Source organism: Homo sapiens, chromosome 19 (assembly GCF_000001405.40).
Source record: "Homo sapiens chromosome 19, GRCh38.p14 Primary Assembly".
NCBI classification, from domain to species: domain Eukaryota; kingdom Metazoa; phylum Chordata; class Mammalia; order Primates; family Hominidae; genus Homo; species Homo sapiens.
In genome coordinates this window covers 8,514,485-8,525,729 of record NC_000019.10, presented here as the reverse complement: position 1 = coordinate 8,525,729, position 11,245 = coordinate 8,514,485, and the positions used below count along the sequence as shown (strand labels likewise).

General features: G+C 52.2%; 1 protein-coding gene across 11 annotated transcripts in view, besides 3 other annotated features; it reads left to right on the top strand.

Moving 5' to 3' along the window:
* Positions 1-4,952, top strand: part of MYO1F (myosin IF) — a 56,665-nt gene extending 51,713 nt beyond the window's left edge. For 9 of the 11 annotated variants that reach the window (NR_199720.1, NR_199722.1, NR_199721.1 and 6 more), the window contains 4 exons: positions 168-251; positions 2,901-3,096; positions 3,184-3,353; positions 4,126-4,618. Coding sequence is in view for 8 of the 11 variants with exons in the window: in NM_001440614.1 (NP_001427543.1) it covers positions 168-251; positions 2,901-3,096; positions 3,184-3,353; positions 4,126-4,202 (527 nt within the window). In the remaining 3 variants the exon portion in view is untranslated. Of the gene's footprint in view, positions 1-167; positions 252-2,900; positions 3,097-3,183; positions 3,354-4,125 lie in introns of all 11 variants that reach the window. The other 2 variants (NM_001348355.2, NM_012335.4) reach the window with 1 other exon arrangement.
* Positions 18-97: a silencer, noted in NCBI's record as "silent region_10031". NCBI's record gives its function as "represses an Ori minimal core promoter by ATAC-STARR-seq in GM12878 lymphoblastoid cells {active_cell/tissue: GM12878}" and the evidence as "EXISTENCE:reporter gene assay evidence [ECO:0000049][PMID:35858748]".
* Positions 2,554-3,053: an enhancer, noted in NCBI's record as "H3K4me1 hESC enhancer chr19:8587561-8588060 (GRCh37/hg19 assembly coordinates)". NCBI's record gives its function as "activates a minimal SCP1, AML or CMV promoter by ChIP-STARR-seq in naive H9 embryonic stem cells {active_cell/tissue: H9 hESC(naive)}" and the evidence as "EXISTENCE:reporter gene assay evidence [ECO:0000049][PMID:30033119]".
* Positions 7,742-7,801: an enhancer, noted in NCBI's record as "active region_13918". NCBI's record gives its function as "activates an Ori minimal core promoter by ATAC-STARR-seq in GM12878 lymphoblastoid cells {active_cell/tissue: GM12878}" and the evidence as "EXISTENCE:reporter gene assay evidence [ECO:0000049][PMID:35858748]".

Here is an 11,245-nt window from a genome sequence, read left to right as displayed (position 1 = left end):
CGAGGCCAATTAGTGGGCGGAGCCAGTGTAACTGTACCTAAGGGGCGGTGCTAATGGGAGAGCCTGAGGGGGCGGGGTGCGGCGGAGCCTCAGAATGGACTAGATTTGTGGGCGGGGCAAAGAGCGTGGTCTGTCTGTCATTCAACTCCCTGACACTCTTCTTTCAGAGCCTACGCGGAAGGGAATGGCCAAGGGAAAACCTCGGAGGTCGTCCCAAGCCCCTACCCGGGCGGCCCCTGCGCCCCCCAGAGGTGAGGAGCTGCGTCCCTTGCTATATTCCCTTGTCTGTTGTGGGTCCCATGGCCTAAGCCAGACCTTCAGCAAACGAAATCTAACAAACACAGTTTACCACTCACTTCTCTGTCCAGGACTCTCCGTAGCTCCACATCTCCCGCAGAATAAAGGCTAAACTTAGTTTGGCATTCAGAGCCCTTCAAAACCCAAACCCAGCTAACCACTGACATCTTCTCTCCTCCTACCCTACACTCCTGCCCTGTAAACTACATCTTTTTTTTTTTTTTTTTTTTTTTGAGATGGAGTCCAACTCTGTCTCCCAGGCTGGGGTGCAGTGGAGCGATCTCGGTTCACTGCAACCTTCACCTCCTGGATTCAAGCGATTCTCCTGCCTCAGCCTCCCGAGTAGCTGAGATTACAGGCACCCGCCACCACGCCCGGCTAATTTTTGTATCGTTTTAGTAGAGACAGGGTTTCACCACGTTGTTCAGGCTGGTCTCGAACTCCTGACCTCAGGTGACCCGCCCGTCTCGGCCTCCGAAAGTGCTGGGATTAACAAGCATGAGCTACGGCGCCTGGCCTCAAACTACATCTTATTTTCCCAATTCACAAAATTTATTCTTACCTCCAGGCCTTTGGGCCGTTTTCTCTGCTTCTCTCTCAAATTCCCATTCCATTCGTTGAGCTCTTATTTATCCACCAAGACGTACCCACAGAAGCTCTCCTACAGAGGATAGGAGGAGGGAAACTTGCCCCTGCAAAGCCACTCCTGGCCAGGCAAGATGGCTCACACCTGTAATCCAAGCACTCTTGGTAGGCCAAGGCAGGAGGATCACTTGAGTTCAAGATCAGCCTGGGCAACATAGCAAGATCCTGTCTCTACCAAAAATTCTTTCTTTTTTTTTTTTTTTTTGAGACAGTCTCGCTCTGTCACCCAGGCTGGAGTGCAGTGGCATGATCTTGGCTCACTGCAACATCCACCTCCTGGGTTCAAGCGATTCTCCTGCCTCAGCCCCCTGAGTAGCTGGGACTACAGGCGTGTGCTACCACGCCTAGATTTTTTTTTTTTTTTTTTTTTTGAGACAGAGTCTAGCCCTGTTGCCCAGGCTGGGGTGCAATGGTGCGGTCTCAGCGCACTGCAACTTTCCACCTTCTGGGTTCAAGAGATTCTCCTGCCTCAGCCTCCCCAGTAGCTGGGATTACAGGCATGCACCACCATGCCCAGCTAATTTTATCTTTAGTAGAGACAAGGTTTCACCATGTTGGCCAGACTGGTCTGGAACTCCTGACCTCGTGATCCACCCGCCTCGGCCTCCCAAACTGCTGGGATTACAGGTGTGAGCCACCGCGCCCGGCCTTTTTTTTTTTTTTTTTTTTGAGACGGTGTCTTGCTCTGTTGCCCAGGCTGGAGTGCAGTGGCGTGATCTTGGCTCACTGTAACCTCCACCTCCCAGGTTGAAGCAATTCTCCTGCCTCAGCCTCCCGAGTAGCTGGGACTACAGGCACACGCCATCATGCCTGGCTAATTTTTGTATTTTTAGTAGAGGCAGAGTTTCACTATGTTGGCCAGGCTTGTCTCAAACTCCAGACCTCGTGATCAGCCCACCTTAGCCTCCCAAAGTGCTAGGATTACAGGCGTGAGCCACCGCGCCTAGCCTAAAAATTCTTTTTAAATTAGCTGGGCATGGTGGTGTGTGCCTATAGTCCCAGCTATTTAGGAGGCTGAGAGGGGAGAATATCATGAGCCTAAGAGTTGGAGTCTGCAGTGAGCTATGATCTCACTGCTGCACTCCATCCTGGGCCACAGAGCAAAACCCTGTCTCTAAACAAATAAAAAATAAATAAGGCCAAGTACAGTGGCTCATGCCTGTAAAACCAGCATGTTGGGAGGCCGAAGTGGGAGGATTGCTTGAGGCCAGGAGTTTGAGACCAGCCTGAGCAACATAGTGAGACCCCATCTCTACTTTAAAAATTATAAAAATCAACTGGGCATAGTGGAGCATACCTGTAGTCCCAGCTCCCCTTAAAAGGAGGCTAAGGAGGGAGGATTGCTTGAGCCCAGGAGGTCAGAGTTGCAGTGAGCTACGATTGTACCACTGCACTCCAACCTGGGCGAGAGTGAGACCATGTCTCAAAATAAACAAATAAAAGTAAAAAATAATTGGCCAGGCGCGGTGGCTCATGCCTGTAATCCCAGCACTTTGGGAGGCCAAGGCGGGCGGATCACAAGGTCAGGAGATCGAGACCATCCTGGCTAACATGATGAAACTCCGTCTCTACTAAAAATATTTAAAAAATTATCCAGGCGTGGTGGCAGGTGCCTGTAGTCCCAGCTACTCGGGAGGCTGAGGCAGGAGAATGGCGTGAACCCAGGAGGCGGAGCTTGCAGTGAGCCGAGATCGCGCCACTGCACTCCAGCCTGAGCGACTGAGCAAGACTCCATCTCAAAAAAAAAAAAAAGTAAAAAATAATTTTAAAATTATGCTTAAAAAAGCTTCTGTCTAGGCCCTCCTAGCGGCAGAGTCCCTCCGTCTGGCCCAATCCTTACCACACTGGGTTGAGAGTGTCGCAGTCTCCTCCCTCAGCCTGAGAACTTGAAGCCAAGTCCTCCTCAAATCCTCCTAGCATCACCCTAATACATGTCTTCATCCTTGCTCCTGCCACAGGCATGGATCGCAATGGGGTGCCCCCCTCTGCCAGAGGGGGCCCCCTGCCCCTGGAGATCATGTCTGGAGGGGGCACCCACAGGCCTCCCCGGGGCCCTCCGTCCACATCCCTGGGAGCCAGCAGACGACCCCGGGCACGTCCGCCCTCAGAGCACAACACAGAATTCCTCAACGTGCCTGACCAGGGCATGGCCGGGTAGGTGGGGTGGGAGGGCAGCTCCAGGAGGTGGGCAGGGGGTAGGGGAGTGTCTGGGGCTGTGACTCAAACCCCCTGTGCCCACAGCATGCAGAGGAAGCGCAGCGTGGGGCAACGGCCAGTGCCTGGTGTGGGCCGACCCAAGCCCCAGCCTCGGACACATGGTCCCAGGTGCCGGGCCCTATACCAGTACGTGGGCCAAGATGTGGACGAGCTGAGCTTCAACGTGAACGAGGTCATTGAGATCCTCATGGAAGGTGTGTGTACCAGGGCAGAAGCTGGGGTGAGGGGAGTGGTAAGAACCCTGACATCGGCCGGGCGCGGTGGCTCACGCCTGTAATCCCAGCATTTTGGGAGGCCAAGGCGGGCAGATCACGAGGTCAGGAGATCGAGACCATCCTGGCTAACACAGTGAAACCCCGTCTCTACTAAAAATACAAAAAATTAGCCGGGCGTGGTGGCGGGCGCCTGTAGTCCCAGCTACTCGGGAGGCTGAGGCAGGAGAATGGCATGAACCCGGGAGGCGGAGCTTGCAGTGAGCCGAGATTGCGCCAACACACTCCAGCCTGGGCGATAGAGCGAGACTCCGTCTCAAAAAAAAAAAAAAAAAGAACCCTGACTGACATTGCCAGGCAGACCCCACCACTGCACACCCTCCCCACGGGAGAACAGAGATAACAGATGGGCGAGGTGGCTCATACCTGTAATCCCAGCACTTTCAGTGGCTGAGGCAGGAGGATCACTTGAGGTCAGGAGTTTGAGACAAGCCTGGGCAACCTAGCAAGACCCCATCTCTACAAAAGATTTACAAAAAAAAAACTTTTAAAGAGTAGAAATGGCCGGATGCAGTGGCTCACACCTGTAATTCCAGCACTTTGGGAGGCTGAGGCAGGAGGATGGCTTAAGCCTAGGAGTTTAAGACCAGCCTGGACAACATAGGGAGTCCCCATGAACAAGATGGACAGACCAGGCATGAGAGCTTTCTCCAGGGCCAGCTAGGGGCACCTCAAGCTTTCCTCTCTCCCACAGATCCCTCGGGCTGGTGGAAGGGCCGGCTTCACGGCCAGGAGGGCCTTTTCCCAGGAAACTACGTGGAGAAGATCTGAGCTGGGCCCTGGGATACTGCCTTCTCTTTCGCCCGCCTATCTGCCTGCCGGCCTGGTGGGGAGCCAGGCCCTGCCAATGAGAGCCTCGTTTACCTGGGCTGCAATAGCCTAAAAGTCCAGTCCTTTGGCCTCCAGTCCTGCCCAGGCCCTGGGTCACCAGGTCACTGCTGCAGCCCCCGCCCCTGGGCCCTGGTCTTCCTCCAACATCACACCTGCTGCCCATTCTCCATTTCTGTGTGTGTCAAAGGGGACTAACAGCAGAATCTACCTCCCAACTGCCATGTGATTAAGAAATGGGTCTTGAGTCCTGTGCTGTTGGCAAAGTGCCAGGCACAGTTGGGGAGGGGGGGGTCCTTAACAAGCGTGACTTTGCTCATTCTGTCATCACTAAGGCAATAAACCTTTGCCAGGTGAAAGCACGAGTTAACTTACTAAGTGCCCAACAAGGACGATGTTTTCACAGCCCTGTGAGGTAGGAGCTGTGAAGGACCCCATCTTACAGGTGGAACAATGGAGGTTCAGAGAGGTTCACTGACCCAAGACTGCACAGAGCCATGCCTTGCATTCATATGTGACCATAAAGCTTGAATTTGTCCCAGTTTGGGCTGGGCGCAGTGGCTCACGCCTGTAATCCCAGCACTTTGGGAGGCTGAGGCGGGCAGATCACGTGAGACCAGGAGTTCAAGACCAGCCTGGATAACACAGCAAAACCCTGTTTCTACTAAAAATTTAAAAAAGAAAAAAAAAAAAGCCGGGTGTGGTGGTGCCTGCCTGTAATCCCAGCTACTGGGAAGGCTGAAGCAGGAGAATCACTTGAACCCGGGAGGCAGAGGCTGCCGTGAGCCGAGATCATGCCACTGCACTCCAGCCTGGGCAACAGAGCAAGACCCTGTCTCAGAAAAAAAGAAAGGAAGGAAGGGAGGGAGGGAGGGAGGAGGTGGGCGCGGTGCCTCACACCTGTAATCCTAGCACTTTGGGAGGCCGAGGCGGGCAGATCACAAGGTCAGGAGATCGAGACCATCCTGGCTAACATGGGGAAACCTTGTCTCTACTAAAAATACAAAAAAGTAGCCGGGCGTGGTGGCGGGCGCCTGTAGTCCCAGCTGCTCGGGAGGCTGAGGCAGGAAAATGGCATGAACCTGGGAGAAGGAGCTTGCAGTGAGCCGAGATTGCGCCACTGCCCTCCAGCCTGGGCAACAGAGCGAGACTCCATCTCAAAAAAAAAAAAAAGAAAGAAAAGAAAATAAAGAATTTGTCTCAGTTTCCCTTCCAAAATCTGCATCCCAAATGGTCCAGCAGGTCCTGTTAGTCTTGAAGCTACAGCCGCCAAACCCATCTGGGACCTATGGAGAGAGGCAGGTCCCACATGCCACATGCTCCCACCCTCAATGCACTCTGGGTCACTCCTGCCCCCTGCACCCCAATCCCATTTCTGTGCCCTCTTAGTCTTCACCTAACTGGGACTAAGACTGGAGTCCTGCTATGGTCTGAGCCTAAAGATCCTGAATTTTGGGCTGGGCGCAGTGGCTCATGCCTGTAATCCCAGCACTTTGGGAGGCCAAGGCGGGCGGATCATCTGAGGTCAGGAGTTCCAGACCAGCCTCACCAACATGGTGAAACCCTGTCTCTACTAAAAATACAAAAATTAGCTGGGCATGGTGGCACGTGCCTGTAGTCCCTGATACTTGAGAGGCTGAGGCAGGAGGTGGAGGCTGCAGTGAGCCAAGACTGCACCATGGAATTCCAGTCTGAGCAATAGAGTGAGACTCTGTCTCAAAAAAAAAAAAAAATTCCTGAATTTTGGGAGTGGTGGTGCATGCCTGTAGTCCCAGCACTTTGTGAGGCCGAGGCTGGAGGATCACTTGATCCCGGGAGTTCAAGGCTGAAGTGAGCTATGATCGCGTCACTGCACTCCAGCCTGGGCAACTCAGCAAGACCCTGTCTCTAATACTAAAATAAACCAAATCCTGGCCAAGCATGGTGCCTCACAGCTGTAATCCCAGCACTTTGGGAGGCCAAGGCAGGAGGATCACTTAAGGTTTGACCACCCTAGGCAACCTACTAATACCCTGTCTCTACAAAAAAATTTTAAAATTGGCCGGGCACGGTGGGTCACACTTGTAATCCCAGCACTTTGGGAGGCCAAGGCGGGCAGATCATAAGGTCAGGAGATCGAGACCATCCTGGCTAACACAGTGAAACCCCATCTCTGCTAAAAATACAAAAAATTAGCCGGGCGTGATGGTGCGCGCCCGTGGTCCCAGCTACTCGGGAGGCTGAGGCAGCAGAATTGCTTGAACCTGGGAGGCGGAGGTTGCAGTGAGCCGAGATGGCGCCACTGCACCCCAGCCTGGGTGACAGAGTGAGACTCCATCTCAAAAAAAAAAAAAGCTAGTGTCATGCCTGTATTCCCAGATACTCAGGAGGCTGAGATGGGAGGATCACTTGAGCCCAGCAGGTCGAGGCTGCAGTGAGCTGATTACAACATTGTACTCCAGCCTGGGCAACAGAGCTAACCCTGTCTCTCTCTAAAAATAATAATAATAATAATAATAATAATAATTAATTGTAGCTTTCTAATATGGACACCCGCTCTGTGCTCAGCCCCTCAAAGAGAAGCCAGTCCAGTAGAGATGGGGCTGACTGGTGAGGTGAGGACTGGCCCACAGAAGCGAGGGGAATTCAGAGGTGGAATGGGCGTTGCAGCAGGAGCCAGGAAGGTGGGAGAGGGTCGGTCTCAGCAGATTTGGTTGACAAGCACTGCACAGAGTGATCTAAGCTGTGATGAGCGAACTGCGGGCACAGAATACCTACCCAACGGAAGAATGGGGCATCGGGAATCCCCAGTAGAGCCAGGAATCAAAGCAAGACTAGCAGCCGGGCACGGTGGCTCACGCCTGTAATCCCAGGGCTTTGGGAAGCTGAGGTGGGCAGATCACTTGAAGTAAGGAGTTCAAGACCAGCCTGGCCAACGTGGTGAAACCCCATCTCTACTAAAAATACAAAAATTAGCTGGACATGATACGCACGACTATAGTCCCAGCTACTCGGGAGGCTGAGGCAGGAGAATCGCTTGAGCCCGGGAGGTGGAGGTTGCAGTGAGCCGAGGTTGTGCCACTGCACTCCAGTCTGGACAACAGAACAAGACTGTGACACACACACACACACACACACACACACACACACAGAGAGAGAGAGAGAGAGACAGCAAGAATGGCCAGCAGAACCTTCTGCAGAATCTATTCTCCCTTCTGTGCCTGTCTTGGGAAGCTGAGCATGGCTGGAAAAAATTCTCAAGGCTGCAACCGGGTCTCAAGGGCCCTTTTATTGCTCAATGATGACACAAAAGCATTTAGCAATCTCTTGAATGGCCCTAGTGCTTTCCATCTCTGAATTTCCTTTTCTTTTTTTGAAGATGGGGTCTCACTGTGTTGCCCAGGCTGGTCTCGACCACCTGGGCTCCTGCGATCCTCCCACTTCAGCCTTCCCCCAGTAGCTGAGATTACAGGCACACACCACTGCACTCCAGCATCTGATTCTTGTTGCTGTTGTTTTGAGACAGGGTTTCACTCTGTTGTCCCAGACTGGAATGCAGTGGTATGATCATAGCTCACTGCAGCCTTGGATTCCCAGAATCAAATCATGATCCCGCATCACCCTCCCAAAGTGCCGTGATTACAGGTGTGAGCCACTGTGCACGGCACCATGGCCATTATCTTAAACGTTTAGCATATGCTAAAAGATAATCATCTCCTATCTAGGTTACAGGCATCTTCAGACTGCAGACCTCAGTCATGTGTGCCCCGCCTGCTGCTCACCCCCACATCCTGTTGACTCTTTTACAAAATTTCTTAAGTCCAGTCCCTCCTCTCCCTTCCTTCCTTGGGTCCCTGTCCCTTCTGCCACCTCACCCCATCCTTCCCCAGATTGCACTAGCCTCCCCTGCACACACGCACACACACACACACACACATCCTTACCCTGCATTAAAATGATCTTTGTTTTTTAAATGAAATGAGTTTTCAACTGAATGAATAATAATTAAAAGAAAAAATTTTAATTTGTTTTTGTTTTATTTTTTATTTTTGCATGTATGTATGTATTTATTTTTGAGACTGAGTCTCGCTCTGTTGCCCAGACTAGAGTGCAGTGGCATGATCTCGGCTCACCGCAACCTCTGCCTCCTGGGTTCAAGCGATTCTCCTGCCTCGGCCTCCCGAGTAGCTGGGATTACAGGCACGTGCCACCATGCCTGGCTAATTTTTGTATTTTTAGTAGAGATGGGATTTCACCATGTTGGTCAGGCTGGTCTCGAACTCCTAACCTCGTAATCCGCCCGCCTCAGCCTCCCAAAGTGCTGGGATTACAGGCGTGAGCCACCGTGCCTGGCCTTTTGTTTTATTTTCTTAGAGACACGGTCTTGCTCTGTTGCCCAGGATGGAGTGCAGTGGCATGAACACAGCTCACTGCAGCCTCTAAATTCTGGTCTCAAGCAATCCTCCCACCTCAGCCTCCCAAGAAGCTGAGACTACAGGCATGTGCCACTATGCCCAGCTAATCTTTTTATTTTTGGTAGAGATGGCGTCCTGCTCTGTTGCCCAGGCTAGTCTCAAACCCCTGGCCTCAAGTGATCCTCCCACTTCAGCCTCCCAAAGTGCTGGGATTGCAGGCTTGAGACACCATGCCTGGACAGAAAAAAATAATAATAATTCAAAAAACACAAAAGTGAAAACTCAGTCTCTCTCCCACTCAAACATCCCTGTTCCTCTCCCCAGTTTTTAAATATCTCCTAAAGGTATTCTCTGCATATAAAAGCCCATAGGGGGCTGGATACAGTAGCTCACACCTGAAATCCCAACACTTCGGGAGGCTGAGGCAGATAGATCACTTGAGCCCAGGAGTTCTAGAACATCCTGGGCAATGTGACAAAACCCCATCTCTACAAAACATATAAAAACTAGCTGCGTGTGGTGGCACACACCTTTAGTACCAGCTACTAGGGAGGCTGAGGTAGGAGGATCACCTGAGCCCAGGGAGGTTGAGGCTGCAGTGAGCTGTGATCACATCACTGCACTCTAGCCTAAGCAACAGAGTGTGACTGTGTCTCAAAAAAACAAACAAAAAAGCCGGATGCAGTGGCTCATGCCTGTAATCCCAGTACTTTGTAAGCCCAAGGCAGGTGGATCTCTGAGGCCAAGAGTTCAAGACTAGCCTAGCCAACATGGCAAAACCCCGTCTCTACTAAAAATACAAAAAAAATTAGCTGAGCGTGGTGGCACAAGCCTGTAGTCCCAGCTACTTGGGAGGCTGAGGTACGAGAATTGCTTGAACCCAGGAGGCGGAGCTTGCAAGATCATGCCACTGCACTGCGGCCTGGGGGACAGAGTGAGACTCTGTCTCAAAAAAAAAAAAAAAAAGTGCATAGGTACAACTTGCTTTGCAGATGGAAATACACTGCACATAAAACCTACAATTGTGGCCAGGTGCAGTGGCTCATGCCTGTAATCCCAACACTTTGGGAGGCTGAGGCAGGCGGATCACCTGAGGTCGGGAGTTGAGACCAGCCTGACCAACATGGAGAAACCCCATCTCTACTGAAAATACAAAATTAGCCTGGCATGGTGGCACATGCCTGTAATCCCTGTTACTTGGGAGGCTGAGGCAGGAGAATCGCTTGAACCCAGGAGGCGGAGGTTGCAGTGAGCTGAGATCGCGCCACTGCACTCCAGCCTGGGTGCAGTGCAAGATGTCGTCCAAAAAAAACAAAACAAAACAAAAAAAACCCTACAGTTGCCTAGAACTCAACGAATACCTCTTGAATGGCAGCATGATGAGATCTAAGATGATCTCATCTTAGATGATATGGCAGCAGAGAGATCTAAGATGTTAGATCTACCTTACCGCCCTCTCAACAGCCCATCCTACTCCAAGTGACTGCCAGGAATCAGATGATGCGCCTCCCCCTGCTAAAAATTCATCAGTGGTTACAACATAAACCACACTCCTCTCTCTGCACCACTCCCATGGCCCTGCGTGACCTGCCGCGCACCATATTCGCTTTCTGACCTCCACACCCCGCCTCCACTCTGCTCCAGTGGTGCCCTGGCCACCTCGCTGCTCTTTGACCAAAATAAGCCCGTCCTGCCCCACTCCAGGACATCACCACCAGCTATCCGGTAGAGCCCCCTGCTCCTCGGGCTTTCCACCAGCTCACTCCTTGATCATCTGGAGACAGCTCCGAAGTCACCTCCTCAGAGTGGCTTCCCTGACCCATCACTTCGACATTTCATTGTTTCCTTCATTGCTCTGAATAGGACAAAAGATTGTTTTTGCACTTGTTGATTTACTATTTCCCCATTTTTATTTAACTTTTAGAGATGGGGGTCTCGCTTTTTCGACCAGGCAGGAGTGCAGTGGTGCCATCACGCTCACTGCAGCCTCGACGTCCCTGGCTCGAGCGATGCTGTTTCCCCATTTTAAAATGTGAGTGCAAGGGGAGGCGAGGTGGCTCACGCCTGCAATCCTAACATTTGGGAGGCCAAGGCGGGAGGATCGCTTGAGCCCAGGAGTTTGAGACCGGCCTGGGCAACACACAGAGAGACCCTGTCTCTAAAAAGAATTTAAAAATTAGCTGGGCATGGTGGCACACGCCAGTAATCCCAGCTACTCGGGAGGCTGAGATGGGAGGATCGCCTGAACCCAGGAGGTCAAGGCTGTAGCGAGCTATGATCGCATCACTGCACTCCAGCCTGGGCGACAGAGCAAGACCCTGTCTCAACACTATAAAAAATAAAGAACTGGCCGGGCGCGGTGGCTCACGCCTGTAATCCCAGTACTTTGGGAGGCCGAGGCGGGTGGATCACCTGAGGTCAGGAGGTGACGACCAGCCTGGACAACATGGTAAAACCCAGTCTCTACTAAAAATACAAAAAATTAGCCAGACGTGGTGGTGGGCGCCCGTAATCCCAGCCACTTGGGAGGCTGAGGCAGAAGAATCGCTTGAACCCAGGAGGCGGAGGTTGCAGTGAGCCGAGATCGCGCCA